The sequence below is a fragment of the Homo sapiens genome, chromosome 4 (genome assembly GCF_000001405.40).
Source record: "Homo sapiens chromosome 4, GRCh38.p14 Primary Assembly".
Lineage (NCBI taxonomy): Eukaryota > Metazoa > Chordata > Mammalia > Primates > Hominidae > Homo > Homo sapiens.
This window is the reverse complement of record NC_000004.12, coordinates 107658584-107685435: the sequence shown is the minus strand read 5'-3', so window position 1 is coordinate 107685435 and position 26852 is coordinate 107658584. Positions and strand designations below refer to the sequence as shown.

Here is a 26852-nt window from a genome sequence, read left to right as displayed (position 1 = left end):
AAAGTCTAAACCTTTTACTTACTTTAATTTTAGTTGATTTTGTTGTTTTTGAAAGAATGGATTGGTGAGGGAGGAAGGTTTGTCATCCTGGCTGGAGTAGGCTACTTGTGAGCAGGGAGATCATAGTGAACACTTGTGTGTGTTTAGAATTTAGCACAGTACATTGCCCAAAGCATACACCTGTCACACACATAGTTAATGCTTGTTGGATGGATGAGAAGGTGGAGTGGGAGTGGAATGTTGAACACACATTTGCCAATGCTTTGGCGACAAAAAGAGTTGAACTCTTGTAAAATATTTGAAGAGATTCGAGACCATCCTCGCTAACACGGTGAAACCCCGTCTCTACTAAAAATACAAAAAATTAGTCAGCATGGTGGCGGGCGCCTGTAGTCCCAGCTACTCAGGAGGCTGAGGCAGGAGAATGGCGTGAACACAGGAGGCAGAGCTTGCAGTGAGCCGAAATTGTGCCACTGCACTCTAGCCTGGGCGACAGAGCGAGACTCCATCTAAAAAAAAAAAAATTTTTGAAGAGATTTACTCTGAACCAAATACGATTGACCATGGCCCGTGACACAGCCCTCAGGAGGTCCTGAGAACATGTGCCCAAGGTCGTTGAGGCACAGCTTGGTTTTATACATTTTAGAGAGGCATGAGACATCAATCAAATACATTGGTTTGGTCCAGAAAGGTGGGACAACTCAAAGCCAGGTGGTGCGGGGAGCTTCTAGGCTATAGGTGAGTTTAAATGTTTTCTGGTTGACAATTGGTTGAGTTTGTCTGAAGAACTGGGATTGATAGAAAGGGAATTGTTCAGGTTAAGATAAAGATTGTGGAGACCAAAGTTCTTTTGAGGTCTTACAGTGGCTACCCTTAGAGACAATAGATGACAAATGTCCCCATTCAGATCTTAATCTCTTTAGGATTGGGAGGGTCTGGAAGAAAAAAATATAGTTTTGTTAATAAAGATTCTTTAAAGGTGCAAATTTTCCCCCACAAAGAACAGCTTTGCAGGGCCATTTCAAAATATGGCAAAGAAACATGTTTTGATGAAAATATTTTGATTTTCTTCTTGTCTTGCAATGTTATGCCAGAGTCAGGTTGGAAAAGAAGTCATGATATATAGGGTTAAATAAAACCTATCTGATGAAAATTTGTGGTTTGTAGGGCATGACTCCCCAGGCCCCTTAGATAGGAATTTGGGCAAGATAAAAAATCAGAGTTTAGTCCTCAGCTTTCTATTTGCAAGGTATGTATTTGGTGCCAAGTATTCAAAGATGAATAAGACCTTGTCCACAATGCTCTTGGGTCTCTTACAGTTTGTACTCTATAACTGGGAGTGTGTTTGTATTAGTCCAGTTTCTTGTTTACTTTCTCAACTGTTGACTACATTCCCCTGTTGTTGACTACATTCCCCTGAGTAGAGGTTGATAAAATGTTCCTTAGGTTAATGTGTGTTTGTGTGTGTGTCTGTATGCATACACTGATACTTAGGTTTGCCATGGTGCTGGAGTTCCTGATTATAGAGTTGCTTATTTTTTTAAAAAGCTTTTACTTGTAAATGATGCTTAGCAAGTTCCCTATCAACTCTATTTCAAAGCTGTAATGGTATATATTCCAGCACAGACAAGATTGTGTATATTCAGGGGGCCTCAGGCTTTTATAGACCTTTACATGACATTTATCGGACAGTCAGTATATCCTTGTATTAACCATTCTGATAATCTCAATTATTTTCATGATGACTGCTTAAGATAGTTTTTATTACCTGCTTAAATATGTTTTTTCTCACAATTTACATTTATTATTGTAATCACTTATGGATAAATTATCTAGTAGGAGAACTCCAGGGCTTCTAAAATGTTAAGCCACCTCTTCTAACCCAGTGCTTGTCAAGCTTTGCTGCATGTAAGCATTTCCTTGGGAACTTTAAAAAATCCAGTGCCAAGGCTGTACCCCAGACTAGTGAAATCAATCTCATGGGGTGGGACCTGGTGATTCCAGTATATCACCGCATTTGAGAATCAGAGCTTAACAGTTAGTGTTCTTAATCAGAATTATTTTTTTTTTTCCCAGCCATTTTCTTGTGACCCACTGCTAAATGGGAATACCGGTAACGCAGAAATTTTTTCTTGAGTTCAGGGCTGCAGGGGATGCTTAGAAATAGGAAATAGAAAAAAAATGAAATAAATGGGCTGTAGGTTTGTAGTATATATTTTTGAACTCTTTTGCTAGCTGTATTTTTTAATATTAATGGTAATGATTTTAAATTCATGCATACCATTCTAACCTAAGAATGACCTAAGCTTTCCGAGATAGACAAGCCTTGAATGACTTACGTGTGGGGTAAGGTCAGGGGTATAAGATAGGAATAGCGTATCTTTAACTCAGATAACCCTCTCTGGGAAATTGTCGTCTATTTGCTCTTTTCTTAGCAGTTATATGGTAACACATATACCATAGGAAAAATCTAAATAGTGGTTAATACTAAAATTATATGTGATTGTGTAATTTATTTTGTGATCTATTTACTATCCTTGTTTATGTTTAGTTTAAGCAAATAGTAGTTCATTTGTCTTAAAACTTGTTATCTGATGGCAGAAGAAGCCTGCAGAGCTTCAATTTGGCCACAGATAATTCTTGTGAATGTACTGGACAGATTGACTTAGTGTTAGTTTTTGCATTGAGAAAAAAATAATCTTGTCAGGTTTGGTTTTATGTCCATGTCCTGTAGAGAATTGAGATGCCTTGGATCACCTGGTATTAATTCCATATATCTTCACAGGCAGCTTGGGCATTTTCTTAAGACAAAAAAGAAAGAAAAAAGGTGACAAAAGTAGTAGAATTGATTCTTACTATTTGTGGATTTGATATTTATGAATTTGCCTACTTGACAAAATTTATTTGTAATCTCCACATCAGTACTCCTGGCACTTTCATGGTCAGTGCAACACGTCCGACACACCTGACACAGTTCCCAGCGAAAATAAACAAGGCAGCACTTTGCCTTCTGGTTTTAGTTCTCAAACCATAAACAATTATTCTTATTGCAGCCTATTTGGTGTCACATTTTTTACATTTTTGTGGTATTTTAGGTAGTTTTACAGTTTAAAATGGCCCCCAGTGCAGGAAAAAAAAAAGTTTAATTAGAAATCTCCCAAGAAAGATGCTTCATTACTATAGCCCTGTGGCTTGGGGGACAGCGCAGATACTAACTTCAATGTAGCAGAGATCTGCACTGAAAAAATAAACTATTTTAATTTTATTTTCCACCCTACTCTATTATCTGTTACCTTTTGCAGGTTTCACTGGGATCGATTCTGAATATGAAAAGCCAGAGGCCCCTGAGTTGGTGCTGAAAACAGACTCCTGTGATGTAAATGACTGTGTCCAGCAAGTTGTGGAACTTCTACAGGAACGGGTAAGAGAGGATGAAAGAAGGAATCATCAGAGAAAAATTATATCTCTCTCATAATCTTTCCCCTCCAAAAAAAAATGGTGGTGTTAATATTGAGTAACATTTGTATTTTAAATGCTTCGAAATGCCAACAGTGTTCTGTGTCTGTATGTCAGTGTGTGAGGTGTTGTGGGGAGCACCGTGAATGTACAGTATGTGAAATATCCCCGTCAGTATAAACCTCAGGAGGCTTAGGAGTCAGTCTTGTACTTTACCAGTAATTTTGCCACAGAAAAATACCTAACAGAAAATCCAGCCATGATTGTTCAGTCCTGTAACTTGATAGTATTATATTTTTCCATTTGAGGTATACAAAGTTGTTAACTTTTCTTAGATATTTAGAGTGCCCACATTTTCCTTGTGATAACATGATGATCTCCTTATGGGTGGATTCTAGAGAGGGACCTGTGGAGGATGTAAGTTTCTAGGACATAAGGACCTTTGGGTGCCTGGGCATATGGAGGCATGAAGAGGCTTGGGGTTCTCCAGGGTACTCAGGCCCACTAACAAGTGCACGGTTCCTTCAGACTTTAGTCTGGGTTTTTAGAAGTTTTCTTTCCCTTGTGTTTTGTCCATACTACCCTCAATCCCCTTTCCCCATTTCATTGGAGGGTCACATAGTTCACTGTAGTTGAAGAGGATCTGGCCTCTATGTGGGTGGAGGTCTTGGGTCAGTGATTACCCTGTCACCTTGTCATGCATTCCCCCCTTTGCTATTCAGTCCTGACCTAGGGGTACACAGAAAAAGACATCATCTTTCCTCATTCTGTCCTAACTGTGGGTTTTGGAGTTTGAACCCCCTCTTAATCTGCAAAATCCTGTAATAAACCTCTTTCATCTAGTGTATTTTATAAACCTCTTTCATCTAGTGTATCTTACTGGATATATTAGACATACAACTTTAAAAAAATTTCTTTGTCTGAATATATTATAAATGTTTAGCCTTTGAGTTTTTCCACATTATAAAATATCTACCAGGTAGGTAACTTGGGACTTTCCTTCCTAATTTATTTATTTTATCCAAACATTGTAGCTGAATATATAGAAATAATGTAAATCGATACTGCTCTGATGTTTTTCTTTGTATTTACTGATCAGGTATCATTATTTGCAGGCCACTGAGACATCCCAGGAGGTTTTATGCTTCATCATCTCTGCCTTCTAGGTTTCTTTTTAACTGACTTCTGCACTCTTATTCTAATCCTATTGTTCTACTTGTAGCTTCCTCCTTATCTCTCCAAAGCTGTCCCAGCATCCATTCTTTCATCTTCCATCATCAACCACACATTGATTAAAAGCCCACCACTGTAGTTATAGTCCTAGGCTCTAGTAATGCAAAGATTTATCAGCTGTGCCTCCATCCTTGAGGGATTTACATTATAAGTGATAGAAACAGACATAAGAGTGTTTAACTCCTAGGAAGTGTGTTAGAAATCATGATTTCAGTTATGTCTGTGGCATACTGGGAGGCACAGGGGCTTTCTCATCTGTTTGTTCATTTTTAGAAAATACTTTTACTGGGCATAGAATTCTGCATGACAGATTGTTTTTTCTTTTAGTGCTTTAAAGATGTTCCATTTTTTTTTAACTTGCTTCATTTCTGATGAGAAGTCTAATGTAATTCTTTTCTTTGTTCCTCTATGTGATTTTTTTTTCATGTCTGAATTTAAGATTTTGTGGTACTCCTTGGATTTTAGTGGGTTTAATATCATGTGTCTAGGTCTTGTAGTAGATTTAGGTCTTTTTTCTTACTGTTTAGAATTCCCCAACCTGCTTGGGTAGATATATATTTTTTTCATTAGTTTTTGAAAATTCTTGGCCATTATCATGTGAAATATTTCTTTTGCCTTTTTCACTCTTCTTCTGGGACTCTAGTTACACATATGTTGAATAATATGTTGTCCCACAGTTTTTAGATGCTCTGTTTCTTTCATCCCTTTTCTGTTAACATTTTAGCTTTGATAATTTCTGATTTTTATGTTTGCTGATTCCTTAGCTGTATCCAATATATTGATAGGCTCATAGAAAGAATTTTTAAACTCTGATAATCATTAAAAAACAATTCTGTCATTATTTGACTTTTTTTTGATAGTATTCATTTTTCTGTTGAAATTCTCCATCTCTCCATGCATGCTGTCCACTTTTTCATTAGATCCTTTAACTTAATCCCAGTTAAAAAGTCCTATCTTGAGGAGTGCTTGAATCTGGGGGGGTGGAAGTTGCAGTGAGCCGAGATTGCGCCACTGCTCTCCAGCCTGGGTGACAGAGCGAGATTCTGTCTCAAAAAAAAAAAAAAAGTCCTGCCTCATGGTTTGAACATGTGTGTTATTTCTGAATCTCATTTTGTTGAGATTTCTTTGTCATATCTCTTGACAGTGGGTAGTTTTTCTTGCTTTCTTGGTGTATCTTGTAATTTTTTGTGAATGCTGGACACTGTGTCTAGATGTACAGTAGAGATTGAGGTAGTGTTTATGTCATGGGCATGTTTCATTTTCTGTCATACTGTTACTGTAGTAGGTTGATTTAGCCCTCAGCTGGATTTGGCTGTCCTTATTCCTTATGAAGTTATTCTTAATGCACCAGAGGCTTCAAATTTCTGTAGTGGTGGGCTCTTTTACCTTGTACTTAGTGTGGGGCCTGGCCTGCTCATGGGTTTTTCTTAGTGTTCCTGCTTCATCCTCAGTGTTCCCTGTATGCCTGTACCACAGAAGGAGTCTTCCTCCTGCTTGTCTCTCAGCAGCATACTGCTGTGGCTTATCACTTGGTGCTAGGCTCATGACTGCGAAGTGGTGATGATTCTCAGTTTCCTGGCCCACCTTCAGTCTTAGGCGTGACCTGTGCTCCTGAGTCTTGAGGTGGGTTTTTCTCAGTGCTCCTTCCCCTCCCTGCATAACAGCTAATCTCTGCTTTCACCCTGGGAGGCTTGGAGGGGAGTTTTCTTTTCCTCACATGCATTAGCATGTTTTATATCTGTTTTGTACTGGCTACCTGGTTTGTATGAATGCAGGATCTTGGGCCCAAAAGGGTTTCCTTCATCTCCTCCTTTGTGGCAGACCATATTTGCTTCCACCCCTCACCCAGAAACAGAGGACCCTGGGAAGGTTTGAGGGTTTCCTTTCCTTTTTCATTAGCTTAAGGCTTTTGTGGATATGAAAGAAGGGTCTGGTGAGTGAGCATAGTTTTTTTGCCTGTGCCCCACTGAGGAAGACTTTTTTTAGTCTCTAGACCTGCTCCTGATTTATGTTTTGAGCACCTGCCATAGGCATGCTTGTGAGTGAGTGCAGGACCCCTTGTGTCTGGTACCCCCCGGTCCCCCATTGTACTAAGCCTGTCACACTAGTCTACACTCAGCCTTTAAAAGTTTTAAAGACATTTTAGCTGTTTTCCTCTTACCTGCCTTTATTGCAACTACCTCTTCCTCCCATGTTCTGCTAAAGGTAAGCAGTTCATGTGCCTGGTCTTTTCTTGGTGGGACTTGTCACTCTTCGGAAGCAGTTCATCTCACTGCTTTTTTTCACCTCAGCTCTGCAATGGGCTCAAGAAAGTTTATGATTGTAGATTGGCTGGCCTTTTCACTTGTTAGGTGATGCTCTCTTTTGGAATCTCTGTGTTTTGTTTTCAATGCATTGTCTACCCTTTCTCTTCACTTTTACTCTGTTGCTGTTGTGTATCGTTTTCTTAGAAATTTGCATAAAATTCTAGTTCTAGACATAGATATTAATTCCATCTCTTATTTTTTTTATTTTTTACATTCAGCTAATACTTAAATGGCAACTTGATTTTTTTTTCTTTTTTATACGTTAAGTTTTAGGGTACATGTGCACAACGTGCTGGTTAGTTACATATGTATACATGTGCCATGTTGGTGTGCTGCAGTCATTAACTCGTCATTTAACATTAGGTGTATCTCCTAATGCTATCCCTCCCCACTCCCCAAGCCACACAACAGGCCCCGGTGTGTGATGTTCCCCTTCCTGTGTCCATGTGTTCTCATTGTTCAATTCCCACCTATGAGTGAGAACGTGTGGTGTTTGGTTTTTTGTCGTTGCGATAGTTTGCTGAGAATGATGGTTTCCAGCTTCATCCATGTCCCTACAAAGGACATGAACTCATCATCTTTTATGACTGCATAGTATTCCACGGTGTATATGTGCCACATTTTCTTAATCCAGTCTATCATTGTTGGACATTTGGGTTGGTTCCAAGTCTTTGCTATGGTGAATAGTGCCACAATAAACATACGTGTACATGTGTCTTTATAGCAGCATGATTTATAGTCCTTTGGGTATATACCCAGTAATGGGATTGTTGGGTCCAATGGTATTTCTAGTTCTAGATCCCTGAGGAATTGCCACACTGACTTCCACAATGGTGGAACTAGTTTATAGTCCCACCAACAGTGTAAAAGTGTTCCTATTTCTCCACATCCTCTCCAGCACCTGTTGTTTCCTGACTTTTTAATGATCGCCATTCTAACTGGTGTGAGATGGTATCTCATTGTGGTTTTGATTTGCATTTCTCTGATGGCCAGTGATGATGAGCATTTTTTCATGTGTCTTTTGGCTGCATAAATGTCTTCTTTTGAGAAGTGCCTGTTCATATCCTTCTCCCACTTTTTGATGGGGTTGTTTGTTTTTTCCTTGTAAATTTATTTGAGTTCTTTATAGATTCTGGATATTAGCCCTTTGTCAGATGAGTAGATTGCAAAAATTTTCTCCCATTTTGTGGGTTGCCTGTTCACTCTGATGGTAGTTTCTTTTGCTGTGCAGAAGCTCTTGAGTTTAATTAGATCCCATTTGTCAATTTTGGCTTTTGTTGCCATTGCTTTTGGTGTTTTAGATATGAAGTCCTTGCCCATGCCTATGTCCTGAATGGTATTGCCTAGGTTTTCTTCTAGGGTTTTTATGGTTTTAGGTGTAACATTTAAGTCTTTAATCCATCTTGAATTAATTTTTGTATAAGGTGTAAGGAAGGGATCCAGTTTCAGCTTTCTAAATATGGCTAGCCAGTTTTCCCAGCACCATTTATTAAATAGGGAATCGTTTCCCCATTTCTTATTTTTGTCATGTTTGTCAAAGATCAGATGGGTGTAGATATGTGGCATTATTTCTGAGGGCTCTGTTCTGTTCCATTGGTCTATATCTCTGTTTTGGTACCAGTACTATGCTGTTTTGGTTACTGTAGCCTTGTAGTATAGTTTGAAGTCAGGTAGTGTGATGCCTCCAGCTTTGTTCTTTTGGCTTAGGATTGACTTGGCAATGTGGGCCCTTTTTTGGTTCCATATGAACTTTAAAGTAGTTTTTTCCAATTCTATGAAGAAAGTTCTTGGTAGCCTGATGGGGATGGCATTGAATCTATAAATTACCTTGGGCAGTATGGCCATTTTCATGATATTGATTCTTCCTACCCATGAGCATGGAATGTTCTTCCATTTGTTTGTATCCTCTTTTATTTCATTGAGCAGTGGTTTATAGTTCTCCTTGAAGAGGTCTTTCACATCCCTTGTAAGCTGGATTCCTAGGTATTTTATTCTGTTTGAAGCCATTGTGAATGGGAGTTCACTCATGATTTGGCTCTCTGTTTGTCTGTTATTGGTGTATAAGAATGCTTGTGATTTTTGCACATTGATTTTGTATCCTGAGACTTTGCTGAAGTTGGCTGTCAGCTTAAGGAGATTTTGGGCTGAGACGATGGGGTTTTCTAGATATACAATCATGTCATCTGCAAACAGGGACAATTTGACTTCCTCTTTTCCTAATTGAATGCCCTTTATTTCCTTCTCCTGCCTGATTGCCCTGGCCAGAACTTCCAACACTGTGTTGAATAGGAGTGGTGAGAGAGGGCATCCCTGTCTTGTGCCAGTTTTCAAAGGGAATGCTTCCAGTTTTTGCCCATTCAGTATGATATTGGCTGTGGGTTTGTCATAGATAGCTCTTATTATTTTGAGATACGTCCCATCAATACCTAATTTATTGAGAGTTTTAGCGTGACGCATTGTTGAATTGTGTCAAAGGCCTTTTCTGCATCTCTTGAGAGAATCATATGGTTTTTGTCTTTGGTTCTGTTTATATGCTGGATTATGTTTATTGATTTGTGTATGTTGAACCAGCCTTGCATCCCAGGGATGAAGCTGACTTGATCATGGTGGATAAGCTTTTTGATGTGCTGCTGGATTCGGTTTGCCAGTATTTTATTGAGGATTTTTGCATCGATGTTCACCAGGGATATTGGTCTAAAATTTTCTTTTTTTGCTGTGTCTCTGCCAGGCTTTGGTAGCAGGATGATGCTGGCTTCATAAAATGAGTTAGGGAGGATTCTCTCTTTTTCTATTGATTGGAACAGTTTCAGAAGGAATGTTACCAGCTCCTCCTTGTACCTCTGGTAGAATTTGGCTGTGAATCCATCTGGTCCTGGACTTTTTTGGTTGGTAAGTTATTAATTATTGCCTCAATTTCAGAGCCTGTTATTGGTCTATTCAGAGATTCAACTTCTTCCTGGTTTAGTCTTGGGAGGGTGTATGTGTCAAAGAATTTATCCATTTCTTCTAGATTTTCTAGTTTATTTGTGTAGAGGTGTTGATAGTATTCTCTGATGGTAGTTTGTATTTCTGTGGGATCGGGGGTGATATCCCCTTTATCATTTTTTATTGCATCTATTTGATTCTTCTCTCCTTTCTTCTTTATTAGTCTTGTTAGTGGTCTATCAATTTTGTTGATCTTTTCAAAAAATCAGCTGCTGGATTCATTGATTTTTTTGAAGAGTTTTTTGTGTCTCTGTTTCCTTCAGTTCTGCTCTGATCTTAGTTATTTCTTGTCTTCTGCTAGCTTTTGAATGTGTTTGCTCTTGCTTCTCTAGTTCTTTTAATTGCGATGTTAGGGTGTCCATTTTAGATCTTTCCTGCTTTTCCTTGTGGGCATTTAGTGCTATAAATTTCTCTCTACACACTGCTTTGAATGTGTCCCAGAGATTCTGGTATGTTGTGTCTTTGTTCTCGTTGGTTTCAAAGAACATCTTTATTTCTGCCTTCATTTCATTATGTACCCAATAGTCGTTCAGGAGCAGGTTGTTCAGTTTCCATGTAGTTGAGTGGTTTTGAGTGAGTTTCTTAATCCTGAGTTCTAGTTTGATTGCACTGTGGTCTGAGAGACAGTTTGTTATAATTTCTTTTCTTTTACATTTGCTGAGGAGTGCTTTACTTCCAACTATGTGGTGCATTTTGGAGTAAGTGCGGTGTGGTGCTGAGAATAATGTATATTCTGTTGATTTGGGGTGGAGAGTTCTGTAGATGTCTATTAGGTCTGCTTGGTGCAGAGCTGAGTTCAATTCCTGGATATCCTTTTTAACTTTCTGTCTCGTGGATCTGTCTAATGTTGACAGTGAGGTGTTAAAGTCTCCCATTATTATTGTGTGGGAGTCTAAGTCTCTTTCTAGGTCTCTAAGGACTTACTTTATGAATCTGGGTGCTCCTGTATTGGTTGAATATATATTTAGGATAGTTAGCTCTTCTTGTTGAATTGATCCCTTTACCATTATGTAATGACCTTCTTTGTCTCTTTTGATCTTTGTTGTTTTCAAGTCTGTTTTATCAGAGACTAGGATTGCAACCCCTGCCTTTTTTTGTTTTCCATTTGCTTGGTAGATCTTCCTCCATCCCTTTATTTGAGCCTATGTGTGTCTCTGCACGTGAGATGGGTTTCCTGAATACAGCACACTGATGGGTCTTGACTCTTTATCCAATTTGCCAGTCTGTGTCTTTTAATTGGAGCATTTAGCCCATTTACATTTAAGGCTAATATTGTTATGTGTGAATTTGATCCTGTCATTATGATGTTAGCTGGTTATTTTGCTCATTAGTTGATGCGGTTTCGGTCTTTACAATTTGTCACATTTTTGCAGTGGCTGGTACCGGTTGTTCCTTTCTATGTTTACTGCTTCCTTCAGAAGCTCTTTTAGGGCAGGCCTGGTGGTGACAAAATCTCTTAGCATTTGCTTGTCTGTTAAGGATTTTATTTCTCCTTCACTTATGAAGCTTAGTTTGGCTGCATATGAAATTCTGAGTTGAAAATTCTTTTCTTTAAGAATGTTGAATATTGGCCCCCACTCTCTTCTGGCTTATAGAGCTTCTGCTGAGAGATCAGCTGTTAGTCTGATGGGCTTCCCTTTTTGGGTAACCCGACCTTTCTCTCTGGCTGCCCTTAACATTTTTTCCTTCATTTCAACTTTGGTGAATCTGACAATTGTGTGTCTTGGAGTTGCTCTTCTGGAGGAGTATCTTGGTGGTGTTCTCTGTATTTCCTGAATTTGAATGTTGGCCTGCCTTGCTAGATTGGGGAAGTTCTCCTGGATAATATCCTGCAGAGTGTCATTCTCCCTGTCACTTTCAGCTACACCAATCAGAAGTAGATTTGGTCTTTTCACATAGTCCCATATTTCTTGGAGGCTTTGTTCATTTCTTTTTATTCTTTTTTTCTCTAAACTTCTCTTCTCGCTTCATTTCATTCATTTAATCTTCCATCACTGATACCCTTTCTTCCAGTTGATCGAATCGGCTACTGAGGCTTCTGCATTCATCACGTAGTTCTCATGCCTTGGTTTTCAGCTCCATCAGGTCCTTTAAGGACTTCTCTGCATTGGTTATTCTAGTTAGCCATTTGTCTAATTTTTTTTCAAGGTTTTTAACTTCTTTGCCATGGGTTTGAACTTCCTCCTTTAGGTCAGAGTAGTTTGATCATCTGAAGCCTTCTTCTCTCAACTCGTCAAAGTCATTCTCCGTCCAGCTTTGTTCCACTGCTGTTGAGGAGCTGCGTTCCTTTGGAGGAGGAGAGGTGCTCTGATTTTTAGAGTTTCCAATTTTTCTGCTCTGTTTTTTCCCCATCTTTGTGGTTTTATCTACCTTTGGTCTTTGATGATGGTGACGTACAGATGGGGTTTTGGTGTGGATGTCCTTTCTGTTTGTTAGTTTTCCTTCTAACAGTCAGGACCCTCAGCTGCAGGTCTGTTGGAGTTTGCTGGAGGTCCACTCCAGACCCTGTTTGCCTGGGTATCAGCAGCGGAGGCTGCAGAACAGCGGATATTGGTGAGCAGTAAATGTTGCTGCCTGATCGTTCCTCTGGAAGTTTTTTCTCAGAGGAGTACCTGGCTGTGTGAGGTGTCAGTCTGCCCCTACTGGGGGGTGCCTCCCAGTTAGGCTTGGGGGTCAGGGACCCACTTGAGGCAGTCTGTCAGTTCTCAGATCTCCAGCTGCATGCTGGGAGAACCACTACTCTCTTCAAAGCTGTCAGACAGGGACGTTTAAGTCTGCAGAGGTTTCTGCTGCCTTTTGTTTGGCTATGCCCTGCCCCCAGAGGTGGAGTCTACAGAGGCAGGCAGGCCTCCTTGAGCTGTGGTGGGCTCCACCAAGTTCCAGCTTCCAGGCCACTTTGTTTACCTACTCAATCCTTGGCAGTGGTGGGCACCCCTCCCCCAGCCTCACTGCCACCTTGCAGTTTGATCTCAGACTGCTGTGCTAGCAATGAGCGAGGCTCCGTGGGCATAGGACCCTCCGAGCCTGGCACGGGATATAATTCTCCTGGTGTGCTGTTTGCTAAGACCGTTGGAAAAGTGCGGCATTAGGGTGGGAGTGACCTGATTTTCCAGGTGCCGTGTGTCACCCCTTTCTTTGACTAGAAAAGGGAATTCCCTGACCCCTTGCGCTTCCTGGGTGAGGCGATGCCTCGCCCTGCTTCATCTCATGCTTGGTGCGCTGCACCCACTGTCCTGCACCCACTTTCTGACACTCCCCAGTGAGATGCGCCCGGTGCCTCAGTTGGAAATGCAGAAATCACCCGTCTTCTGCGTCGCTCACACTGGGAGCTGTAGACTGGAGCTGTTCCTATTCGGCCATCTTGGCACCACCCACCTCCATCTCATTTTTATTGGAACTATAGTTCTAGTATTTTTCCTTTTCGTTTTGATTGTAGTTTTGTTTGAGTTTTTTGTATACTGAATCTATCTTTTTTTTAACTTGAAATTTGCCATATCAGCGTTAGAAAGTTGGCCCTCTGTATCTGGAGTTCTATATCTGTGGGTTCCACATTTGTGGATACAAACAACCATGGATTGAGAATATTCAGGAAAATTAATACAACAATGAAAAAGAATACAATTTTAAAAAGAATACAATTATATACTTATATAACATTTACATTGTATTAGGTATTATATGTAATCCAGAGATGATATGAAGTGTATGGGAAGATGTGTGTAGATTGTATGCAAATGCTATGCCATTTTATATCACTTGAGCGTCTGTGGATTTTGGTGTCCTCAAGGAGTCCTGGAACCAATTCCTCTCAGATACTGAGGGATGACTGTACAGTTTTATTATTTGTTTTGATTTTTTTATATCTTGTTAGTGATTCATAAGTGTTTTATAAGATCTCAGAAAAATGCACATATTTAATAGATACCATTTTATATAATTTTATGGGGCTTATTAATCTTTGACTATAAATTCCAGATACTTCAGACATGTATATGGGATTATTAAGCTTAATTTGCTTTGGGTGCCACAGGTTTCTCCCACCTTCTTCCCGTCTTTCTCTCTTTAAATTCATAATCACTTCTTTGGGGCCCTATTTAGAATAGTGTCCTTTGGGTTTGACACTTTTCCTACGTGTAGGCTCTTTTTTTTTCTTCAGGGAGGAAGATAATTTTAAGTTTTTCTTGAAAAAAAAAAACTTGATTTTGAGAAAATTTTGCAGCTCTTCACTTATTTTTTCACTAATGTTTTTCCTGTTCCAGGATTCAGTCCAGGATTCCGCACTGTATTCAGGGTTCAGTTGGTTTTTAACTATAATTCTGTATAATGAAAATACAGATTCCTGTGGTATTTATGATGCACAGGACTTTGCATCTTGCTTTTATTCCCTGATGGTTAAAAACTGAAGGTAAATTGACACTGTATGATTTTAGGATCACACTATCCCATATTCCCCTAACTGGTTACCACAACTCCAGTTCTGTGTGCCCTTTAGTCTGTCCTATAATATTCACAAAGTAATCTTTCTAAAGTGTAGTCTAAGCATTTCCTTTTTTTCGCTCTAAAACACTTACTGATTTTTCCATTGTTTATAGAATTGAGATGATTTATACCTGGCATATGCCAGGTGTGGTGGTTCACACTTGTAATCCCAGCACTTTGGGAAACTGAAGCAGGAAGATTGCTTGAGGCCAGGAGTTCAAGACCAGCCTGGGCAACATAGTGAGATCCTGTCCTTGTCTCCAAAAATTTTTTTTAAAAAGTAGTCAGGTGTGGTGGCACATCCCAGATACTCAGGAGGCAGAGGCACGAGGATCTCTTGAGCCCAGGAGTTTGAGGCTGCAGAGAGCTATGATTCTGCCACTGCCCTCCAGCCTGGATGACAGAGTGAGACCCTGTCTGAAATAAAAAATAAATAAAATAAAATGCATCAATAAAAATCAAATAAAGAGGAAAGATGATTTGTGTTCACAGTTCTTCATAGTTTGGTTCCATGCTGCATATTTTCTTATTTATTGTCCTTATGAAGTTCACCGTAGTATTTTCTTTCTTTCTTTGGTGCTATTGCTTGTCTTATCTCTGTAGTCTTAGTTAATGCCTTCCTCCTAATTTATTTGTACCTAATTAATGACTATGCTAATTGCTCTTCCTTGTATATGGATACTAATCTGTATTATGCTTGCTAGACAATCTGATGATTGGACAGTTTCATTCAAGGATATTATCCTTGAAAAAGAAGGATAGATAAGAAATTAACATTTGCTGAGTCCTTATTATAAGGGACATATTTATAGTATGTTGTCTTTTAAAATAACTTGTTCTGTTTATTTCAATTGGAGGAAAGTGACCTTTTTTCCTAATTTAGCTTCCAACTGTCTCTCACCTGAATTACTGTGGTAGTTTTCCAAGTGGTCCTTGTGCTAAGCTCTTTTCATATGTTGTTTGATTTTATTCATACAGTAAACCTTTGAAGTATTTCAGAGAAATGAAGAAACTTGTTCATGGACATGTTGGATTCTGCATCTAGAATTTCAGTAATTTTCTTATACCTCTGGCTTTTACTTTCAGGAGTGTTCTCCTTACACTTAAGTGAGATGTAATTAAATCTACATCCAGAAAGGGATTCTGGTTATGTTCATTTAGGAGAGAGAAATTTTCTTTTGAAAAACTGTTAATTTTTATCTTAAAGGTGGGTGGTGACAAAAGAAGAAATGCAAATGCCTCCTTAATTTGATAGCTTTCTTTTGGTATCACCCTCCTTTTCAATATTTGTTACATGCTTTTCTGAATAAATGACTTCACTTCCCAATGAAAGCACGCATATTTCTCTGTTGTACTTAGTTGATCTTTTTAGTTAATTTAACAGATAGTTAATGCTATATGTGGTAGGCACTTTTGTGGACACTGCGGATGTGGCAGTGAATTAAGCAATAAACATTCCAGCCTCATGGACCTTAATTTTTGGTCTTCACCACTGTTATTTTGTTTATAGTGTATAGACTAGAATGAGCATATATAGATTCATTTATTTCTCTTCTTTTATACTATGATGTAGAATTTAAAAATGCAATTGAGGAAGAAATACACATAGACACACAACTATATCTGTCTTTTATTTTCTTTTGGTTGTTTTTCTCACTAAGTTGAATCCCAGTGGGCATTAGGGCACATGGAGAAACCAGTGAATACCTGACATTCAGCTCAAAGTTCATCCTTAGAAATGCCAGTTGTGCATTTGCCCACTGTACTTCATTGCAAAGTGACTTGCTATAATGTGTACTTTTCATATCAAACTCCCTCTATCCAGGGGTAGCAAATTCAGTTCATTTAACTTCATTGTTATCACAAAGACATTTGTTAGGTTTTCCAAAGGTGGGCTATGGGAGGACACATAGTACAATCTAAATATAGATTGGGAGGTGAAGGGGATGAATATATCAAGTACCATGTTGCTTTAAAGCAAGGAATAATAACCAAATTTATGTAGCTTTAGAGTATGTGTTTGGAGTAGGGAGGTGAAGGTTAGGGGTCCTACATTAACCAGCATTATGTAAAAGAATATATAAATGTGTGTGCTGAAAGCGAATGCCATGGGCAGTATATTAGGGTTCTCTAGAGGGACAGAACTAATGGAATATACGTACATATATATGTGTGTGTGTATATATATTTTATATATATATGAGTTTATTAAGTATTAACTTGCATGATCACAAGGTCCCACAGTTGGCCATCTGCAGGCTGAGGATCCAGGAGAGCCAGTCTGAGTTCCAAAACTGAAGAACTTGGAGTCTGATGTTCGAGGGCAGGAAGCATCCAGCACCGGAGAAAGATGTAGGCTGGGAGGCTAGGCCAGTCTCTCTTTTCACATTTTCCTGCCTGCTTATATTCTAGTGATGCTTGTAGTTGATTAGATGGTGCCTACCCAGATTAAGAATGGGTCTGGGTTTCCTAGCCCACTGACTCAAATGTTAATCTCCTTTGGCAACGCCCTCACAGATGCACCCAGGATCAATGCTTTGTATCCTTTCCATCCAATCAAGTTGACACACAGTATTAACCATCACAGGCAGAGATGGAGACCATCAACAGTAACTTACCAGTTGAACTCTTACTGTGTGCTAGGCCCTGTGTTAGGTACTGCAGTGGCATTATTGCATCTAATTTACATTGAAATTGAGAAGTATTTATAATTATCTTCATTTTGCTGATAAGGAAACAGATTCCAGAGGTGAAGTTATTTGTCCCAGATAGTTCAGTTAGGGAGAGGTTTGCACACAGTTCTGATTGATTCTGCAGCCTACACACTCAATGTTTCTACTACTCTGCCTTTACTAGTATTTAGATTCTTTCCATTTCTAGTTTATTTCTGAAATATGAATCTTTTCTCTGACTCTCTTTCACATTCCTTGATCAGTTGTTCCCTAACTGTAGTTGGGATTAAGAAATGGGAGAGGCATGGGCATTTCATTGACCTTAGAAAGATTTATTATTTCTTGAATACTTTTAAAATACTTGAGCAGATCAAAGACAACACTATCTGGGTTGGAAAGAATGTTTATTAAAGAAATAAACTGCTCATACCTGTGTCCAGCTAGTGTGAAATGCTTGTTCTATGTAAGTGCAATAAGAATAGTGTTTGTAGGTTATCTAATTTACCTTGGAAAGAGGCACATTTTGCCTAATGAATTATGATTTATGTAAGTCCTAAAACCTGAATTGGAGTGGTAAAAGGTTATACTATATATAATGACAACTTTATTTCTAAAATAAACTAAGTAAATTTTATCCCCTCTTCAAGCTTAGTTTTGTAATACTTTTGAAGACTTTTTTTCTCACAATAACCAGTTTTTTGTTTGATCTCTGATATCATCTGGTATCCAGTGATTCAATTTAATTTTGACCCTAGCTATGTGGAGTTAGTTCAGACCTCACAGGTTAAGGGCTCACTCCTATACACTGCCCTGTTTTAGACGCCAGCCCAAATGGGGTGCCCAGGCTACCCACTTTCTTGCCTGGCTGATTATAAATCCAAGGTTTCCCACCTCCCTACCCTGTCCCCACACCAGGTTTGATCATTGGCTAGGACAACTCACAGAACTCAGTAAAGTGCTTTATTTGCTACTTCCAGTTTCTTATAGACTCAGTAACAGCCAGATGGAAGAGATGTGCAGGGAAGGGGTGGCAGAGCTTCCGTGCTTTCTCTATGAACTTCAACCCCCAGCCCCCAGTACCTCCGTGTGCTCACCAACTGGGAAGCTCTCTGAACCCCATCATTTAGAAGTTTTTATGTAGGCTTTACGTCGCACATTTGATTAAATCATTGGCCATTGGTGATTGAACTCAATCTCTCTAATGCCTTTCTGCTCCCCAGAGGTCAGGGGAGTAGAGTGAGGCTGAAAGTTGCAACCCTGTGATGGTGACTTGGACTTTCTGGTCCCAGTTCCCATCATGAAGCTGTCTAGGAGCCCTTCAGCCAAGAGTCCTCTCCTCAGCACTCCAAAGGCACATTGATCACTTAGGGGATTTCAAGGGTGTTAGGAGCTCTGTGCCAAGAACTGAGGACAAAGACCAAACACTGTATGTATTTCCAATTGTATACCAGTTTTTATTAGAGAGAAGAAAGTACTATGGTCTGGGACTTCCCAGAGAATGAAGGTGTTTGAAAAGCACTGTCTTCATGGAAAAATAGTGGTAAGTAGAGTTTGCTTTTATCTGTTCCTCTGTATTCCTTTGGAGAGACTCTTCTGAAGTGAATTGTACCTGGAATTGTTTAATGGTCTTCAGTAAGATACAGTATTTATTTCATTGTCCAAGAAAAATGTTTTTAGTATGCTGTACAACGGGTAATATAGGATGATGGGTCCTTTGGTTACCATGGGTACTTTACATAAAGTTAAGAATTCTCTGTCATTTTCTGGGTTGCCTTCTCTTTCACTGTGGCTATGTAATATAATCAGGATAGATAAAGTGGTCATTCATATAAAGACTGCATTTCTTAGCGTTTTCTCACAGCATCTTCATTTTCTTTGTTTGGTATGTATTTAAGAAAATAGAAAACACTAACAAATCAGGATTTTTTTATTTTCCTAGACCCTAAATTGGTCACTAGATGGCCTGCTAGTATTGCATTTTAACTTGGCTTGTTATGACATAAGGAAGTAGACTTCTTGCTGCTGGTTTTAATCTAAAGTGATATTTTAAATACTGTTTTAAAATCTACCAGGAACTCTAGATTTACTAGTGCTATAAATTATTTAAAGGTTTGTCTTTTTAAGAAATGGTGGTTTAGTGCTCTAAATGGGTTTTATGCTACACATAAAAGCCAGACTTTGCAGCTCAGTTTTAAAGTGTTGCCGGAATGTCGTTTGGTGTTCATGCTTTGGATGCATGTAGTTTAGATAACAGAAATTTAATAGTTACATAAAAATATGAATGTGCCCTTGTGTTCAAATCTGTTGAGCAGATTTGGCTCAAGAAAAAAGTACAGAAAGTATTTAAAGGAAAACTTAAAATGTGGAATCATTGTATTAACATGTTCAGAGTTCTTTAGGAAGATTAAAATGAGAGGCGAGAGCTACCACTTTCATGTAGCGCATGTTGTTTGCCCTGCCTGCCAGTGTCCAGGTAAAAACAAAAACAGTTGTCTGTTTTTGGATACAACATATGTTAGATGTTAGACTGTCAAAGTCAAACAACGTTCTGGGTACCCCGTGTTACATTTTAAAATTAAATTAATACTTATAAATTTATAATATCTCTAGACTTACAGGTTACGGAATTCACCTCTCATTAATAGTAGAGTGTGGGTCATTTACTGATCCCCTGCTCAGGAGGACTCCTAGGGCCTCCCTGAGCCCCCTTTACCCTTCAGTGCTGGGTGACTGGAGCCTTTCAGATTGGAGGTGAGATGTCCAGGTGTGTGCAGACTTTTTCCTGGCCTGGCTTGTGATCTCTTTGTGTTTTAAAGGACATTTCATGAAGCAAAGGGTTTTATATGTACAAATTGAAGAAGAGCACGTTGTTTCTAATAGCTGTGTCTGTGGAAATCCTAATGAATCCCAAATAAAGTGGATAGCTCATGTGGCAGGGACCAACTTTCTGTTGTCCAGATATCTTGTGTCACTTTGAGGTGGTTTTGCTCCTTTCAGATGTTTAGTAGTGGTTTTGGAAACTGAGATTTGTCACTGGAATGTGCTAGAAGCTGGCAGCATCTGCATGTTTAAGATTCTTTTTATATTCCTGTAAGAGACTGAGTCCTTTTGTCTTTACACATAGAATCTGTGTATAACTCATTTCCACAGACTGAGCAGATGCTCCCAGTTCCTCTTGATTCATGCTATTTTTGCATTAATTCCCAAAACATTCACTCTCTGTATCTTTTTTAGAAGAGAAAAACAGTAGCAACCTTTCGAATGTTTATTTTGGCATTGGTTAGGTATCAGAAGAATTTTGTATTGAAGTTGTGAGGCTAAAATCCATTTAAAAATATTGTTGGGTGTGAATTTTGAAGAGGGAAGAGTTTTATGAAATGCTTCTAATGAAAAAGTTATTTTGACTCAAAAACAAAATATGAAAAAATTTCCCTTCTTGAAAAGAAAGTGGTTATAGCCTTTGTTAATACATGTAAAGTAGCACATTGATAAAATTATGCTCAATTATGAATAACTTTATTAGTGCACAAAATATTTCAGTAATTTGATGGGGCTTACAGTATAGATATTGCCCTTTACATGTTCAAACTAGTTACCTTGGAGACAGATTTGATCACAAATTATTTGTACAGTTTTTTTTTTTTAACTTGGGGATATGGTTGGAAGGAAATGGTAGACATCATCTATAGAAACATTCGTTAGTGCAGAGTTCTTATTTGGACCATCTCTTCAGAGGAAGCAGAGATGCACCTGAGTGTGCCCTCAGTGTTGTGGGGTCTCCAGGGTGGAGGGAAGAGAACAGTCCCAGCCCTGTGCCTGGAGCATTGCAGTGGACTGTGCACACTGCTCCTGGTCTTCAGTCTTTGTGAGCTGAACTAGGGATGCTGGATTAGGAAACCAGCTAAACATGCCTTGTTGTAGCCAGTAAAAATCAGAAGATGTGTCTGCTGCATGCTTTCTTCTGCTTCTCTAGGATTGTGACAATTTTCAGCAGTAAACCTGGGGGAGAGTAGTCAAGCCCCATCACAGCATACAAAAAGATATCCCATCCTTACAATAATATACATTTCAGAGATGGCAAAGAAAGCTTTATATAGAGTTTTTCTTACCATTGAAGTTGAGAATGAGATTCTTCTCTTCTCTGGAGTCCTTTGTCATTTGTTCCCAGACTGCATATCCTGCTAAGGGATCCTCAGCATTGGAAATGGAGGCTCATGATTTATTCACAGTGGCAGGGTTTGGAACAGTTGGTTGCAAATTGCTTACTTGTCTTTAATAGAACTATTTAGGCTCAACTGAAATGCTGAATATCTTTTATTTTTCTCTAGAACCTTACCAACGCATTGGAAGATCACATGCTGACTAAAAACTTGGGAATTATGTTTAATAAAATCATGAAAATAAGAAAAATTTGTGTGACAAAATACTTAATACCTTAGTTTTCAATACTTCTCAACTATATGACCTTGGAAGATATAGTCTAATTTCTTGGACTTCAATTCGCTCATCTATGAAATGGGAAATAATTAAAGTGCCTGCCTCAGGATTGTGCAGAGGATTCTATGAGTTGATACATGCAGAGTGCTTAAACAGTTCCTGGCATGTAGCAAGCATACTCTAATTACTGAGTATTCTTTTTATGTTAAGTCCATTGAAAGACAGTATTGCAGGGATTTGGGTCAAGTTGTTGACCTCTCTTAGGCCTCGATTTCCTCTGTAAAGAAGGGATAGCAGTAGTTTCTTCTGCCTTCATTAGTAGGACTGTGTGAAGATTAATGGACTAAAATTCACATGAAGCTCTTAGAACAATGAGTGGTGTTATAGTCAGTTCTCACTAATATTATCCTCCACTCTTCAGGTACTTTAAGTCACTAGTTTGTCAAAACAGCCCTGTAACATATATGTGTGTATCTTTTTTGTACTTTTTTTTAAACAACTGGGGAGACACGTTGTAAGATGCTCAAGATTGCACTGTTAGAATTGGAACTCAGATCTTAAATATAAAAAGACTTTGCCCTCTTTTTTTACTTCATATTCTTAGTGATAAGAACATTGGAAATAACTGACCTATAGACTCCTGTTGCTTTTTGTATCTCGTTGGTTTTGAAGATGTTATGCCCCTAAAGCTTTGTGATTATGTAAATATTTAATTTTAAGTGTCTCGTGAAAGTGTATCATACTCTTCCTCACAGAAGTCCTAATGAGTGCCTGACTTTTTGTGTAACTTGTTATGTTTAGTGTTTTCTCCCCCTAGCATAGAAGATTTCAATTCTTTACTTTGTAGCTGCAAAGAATCTGTATGCCTCAAGGCATCTTTGGAGGCTTTACATATCGAAGAAGCTAATTGAACATACAAAATGTATGTGTAGTTCACTTAATGCACATCGTATTGTCCTTCCAGGAAAAATTGACTCTGAACTTTTATTTTCTACTTGATGAAGTAATAGGCTTTGCACAGACTGCTAAACTATCATTTGTCGTGTAATGTACCTATGGATGGAGACCAGATCAAAGGGAAGACAGAAAAATGACAGTGATAACCATATCTGGGATACAGGGTGATTTGGTTTTCTCATAAAGAGAATCTCCCAGATTCTTTTTACTGCTATTTTATAATTTAAAATACATATATTAAAATAATTCTGGAGTTGGAAGATAAGCTATATCTCATGCTAGATTTAAGGAAGAGTCCTTTTTTTTTTTTCTATATGTGGTTTCCCCTCCTGGTATTATGTATAAACTATGTATATTTAGTTGTCACTGCTTTGAACTCCTTGGCAAAATTTAAGATATGCCCTCTTTAGTGTGGGTTCATTAGAAATAATCTGCCCCATTAGTGCATCTACAGAGAGAACATAGAAGCAGCTGGTGGAGCTTTCTTCCTTCACCATTATTTTTTAATGCCCTCCTGTATTATTTACCCTCAGTAAACACAATAGATAGCTTTTGGCTATGGGTGCCTGCTGGAAGCTTAATTGCAGAAGATTTGGAAGGTATACAAAGTGTCTAATGCTGTGCCGGGTTTGTGCCTCACACACTTTTCTGCTTTCCTCCTATGAACAGTGAGACCCTAGAGGGACAAGAGGCTTCCAGAAAGTGCCGTTCATGTCTACACCCCAAGAGCAGCGCAGCTGGCTGAATTTGCTGTTGTAGCTAGCGGTGTTTATTTCTTGTCTGTCTTTTGATTTTTAATATTACGTTTTCTTTTCCTTGATGTTTATTCTTCTTGTTTATTTATTTATTTTTTTAATTATTAGAAAGGTCAGAGACTTTGAATTTACCAGTAGGAGGAGCCTGATTTTGGCACATATTTAGCCATTGCTGAACTGTCTCTTGTTCCATCTTTGAGGAAACAGGGTGTGTGAGAAAGTAGGAGAAATGTAAGAGAATAGTTCTTAGATTTTCAGAACCCATAGTTGTTGATTGATTGAGTGGTAGCACCTAGGTCTTTCATGAAGTCATCTGGCTTTGATTGACATATCTGCCTTTTTTTTCTACTGAACATGTCATGTAAGACCAAATATAAATTGAAGTTTCTTTCTAGAGGTCATCTATTCCTCAGGAAAAATAGTGGAGAGTGTCCTTAAAAATCCAGTTCTTTCATCTTGAATTACATTTTTTGTTGTTTTGTATTGTTTTAAAAAAACAGACTTTTTTTTAGAGAAGTTTCAGATTCACAGCAAAATTGGCATCATGTAGTTGGAATCATATAGTCTGTACCCTTTTCAGATTGGCTATTTTCACTTAGCAGTTCTCACTTAAGGTTCTTCCATGTTTTCATGGAGCTCATTTCTTCTTAGAGTTGACTAATATAGCATTGTCTAGATGTTCTACAGTTTGTTTATTCACCTACTAAAGACACATTGTGGCTGTCAACTTTTGGCAATTCTGAATAGAGCTGCTTTAAACACCCTGTGCAGGTTTTTGAGTGGAGGTACGTTTTCAACTCATTGGGGTGAATATGAAGGAGTGAAATTGCTGATAAGAGTATGTTTAGTTTTGTAACAAACTGGCAAAATGTTTTCCAAAGTAGCTGTACCATTTTGCATCCCCACCAGCTATGAATGAGGGTTCCTATTGCTCCACATCTTTGGCAACATTAGATGTTGTCAGTGTTTCGGATTTTGGCTATCCTGATAGGTATGTTGTGCTATCTTGTTTTGATTTGCAATTTCCTAATGACATATGATGTTGAACATCTTTTCATATGCTTATTTATAATCTATGTGTCTTCTTTGATGAGATGTCTATTCAGGTCTTTTGCCCATTTTTAAAATTGGGTTCATTTTCTTATTGGTGAGTTTTAATTGTTTATTTTGTATATTTTTGGATAACATTTATCTAAAGATATAACTTTTGAGTGTATTTTTCTCCCAGTCTGGCTTATCTTCTCAATCTTTTGAGAATTACTTTATTTTGAATAACAAAGTATTGGACACATGTATGAAAAGCCCTCCATCAGTGCCAATTTTGCATGGTTGTAGAGGTTACCTGACAGATTTGGCTTAAAACAAATTAAAGTGATTAAACACATTTAGTAATTATTCTTAGGGATATGTCAAGTGTTGTGAACAAGCCTTGTAAAGAGCTCCTAATGAGCAGTATGTAAATGGTTATGTTGTTATCACAAATATGTACTTGTAGTATAAATGGGGAAAAACACCATCCCAGTGTTTTATAAATGAGTATATGGAGCTTGGATAAAAATTCCAGGCTGCATTTCGTGTGGGATCAAAAAGTTCTGATTTTCAAACCACAGTGGTGGAAGTAAAGCTGACATTCTAGAATACCGTGTTGCTTGGGTAAAAGGTGGCTTTCCTGACAGTGGTGATAAAGGTATATATAAAAGCTGGAATAAAATGGTTTCGTGATATGGTAAAGATAATAAGGATGATGGTTCAGGTGGTTTTTGTTTGCTTGTTTCCAAATTCTTTTTGTTGTTACCTCTTATTTGAGGCCACCTCTCATTTGTAGTTGCCTGACTTTGACATATGTAGTATATTTTAGGAATTTATTCTTTCCCACTAGATAATGGGACATTGGGCTTAATTACTTCTTGGATGTGGGATACTATCTGCTTGAGAGTATTGGTTGAGGGGAACATAGCACTCACAGCCTTCTTTTATGCTACTTTTTGGTTTTATTTTGAGAGATTTTCTTCATTAAGATACCCTTTGGTGAACTCTAAATTCTTGAATCAAACATTTAAATTGTACTCCTGTTGTTATATAGGATATTGTACCTGTGGATGCATCTTATGAAGTAAAAGAACTATATGTGCCAGAAAATAAACTTCATTTGGCAAAAACAGATGCGGAAACATTACCAGCACTGAAAATTAATAAAGTAAGTTCTTCGTTGCTTTTCACACTAAGTGATACAGCCTTATATACAGTAGTTTGTTAAATTTGTGACTTATAGCAGTATTTGAGGCCAGGGGTGGTATTAGCTGGGGGGGCAAAGATGTTGTGGTATATGTCACAATTTCTAAGGATGGGGAATGTGTTTAATTTGTGCAACCATGTTCCCAAGTTACCATGGCTTTGATTTGCTTTGAGTAATAATACTTATTTATTTTGAACTATCAAAGAACAAATATTACATGAGATCCTTAGGCTTATCAGAAATAATGGGTTCTAAAAGGTCAAGGAATACTAATCCATAGTAATTAAGTAAACATTCTCCCCTTCAGACATGTTTTCTAATCCCTTGCCAAAACTTGACTCTCTCTGTCTTATATTGTTAAGAATAATTTTATTGTGTATCTTAGCTCTGATGATATCATTAGCTGTCTTTCCCAATACAACTGCGTAGTTAAGCATGATGAGAATGGAAATTATAATTTATCATTTTCGAGTCTTAGAGAATTTTAAGTTGTATCATTTATGTATACTTTAAAAAAAGGGAGATTAAAAATAAGTATTTGGACTAGAAGTTAGATTCCCCATCCTTTCTTTTAATATAGTAAAAATCCAAAATACCCAAGGAAGTGCCACATCTGAAAGTAAGGAGAAAGGAAAACAAAACAAAACTTCTAGGCTTGATGAAAGACTCTTTAAGTTGTTACCAAATCCCTGATGGGAGTAAATTATATTGGTACACTTTCTGTGTGTGATTGGGTCTCTGACCAGAAACCAAGACATGCCAGGGAGTGACAAGAAGGGAGAACTACAGAGCAGAGCAGCTCAGGAAGTGAACTGTTACATAAGAACAACAGAATTTGTTGCTTACAGACTGCATGGAGTGAATACACGCAGACAAAGGCAGAGAGAAGAAGAATGAGAATGAATGACTATGAATTTACATGTCAGATTCTAGAATCCAGAAAGACAGTAGCTTTTTCTAAATGGAATGTATTTTCAATTCATTGGTTTTCAAATTTCTTCAATTGGCAGAGCATCTGGAAGGCACACTGCTATTCTTTGCACCTCCTCACATGCCTATTTCTAAGTATGGTAGCATTGGGGTTAGGCCTTCAGTATAGGAATTTTGAGAGGACACAGACATTCAATCCCTAACAGATACCATCTAGAATTGAATTCCAGTAGAGACAAGTAGTAGCCACCATCAAAGGTTTTGGAAAAAAAAAAATTTCTTCATGAATCCAATTTTTTTTCCTGTGAATTGATTTTGCAGTGGAACACATTGGCAAACATACTCTGGGAATAAATAGTAGGCTGCATTTTACTGTACTCCACTCAGCCAGGTGCTTTATCTTTCT

At 38.2% G+C, this 26852-nt stretch overlaps 1 protein-coding gene across 3 annotated transcripts in view; it reads left to right on the top strand.

Moving 5' to 3' along the window:
• PAPSS1 (3'-phosphoadenosine 5'-phosphosulfate synthase 1) overlaps window positions 1-26852 on the top strand; it is a 106569-nt gene that overhangs the window by 34799 nt on the left and 44918 nt on the right. For all 3 annotated transcript variants that reach the window (NM_005443.5, XM_011532401.2, XM_011532400.3), the window contains exons 5-6: window positions 3303-3421; window positions 25364-25477. In NM_005443.5, the coding sequence (NP_005434.4) occupies window positions 3303-3421; window positions 25364-25477 (233 nt within the window). The remainder of the gene's footprint in view (window positions 1-3302; window positions 3422-25363; window positions 25478-26852) is intronic.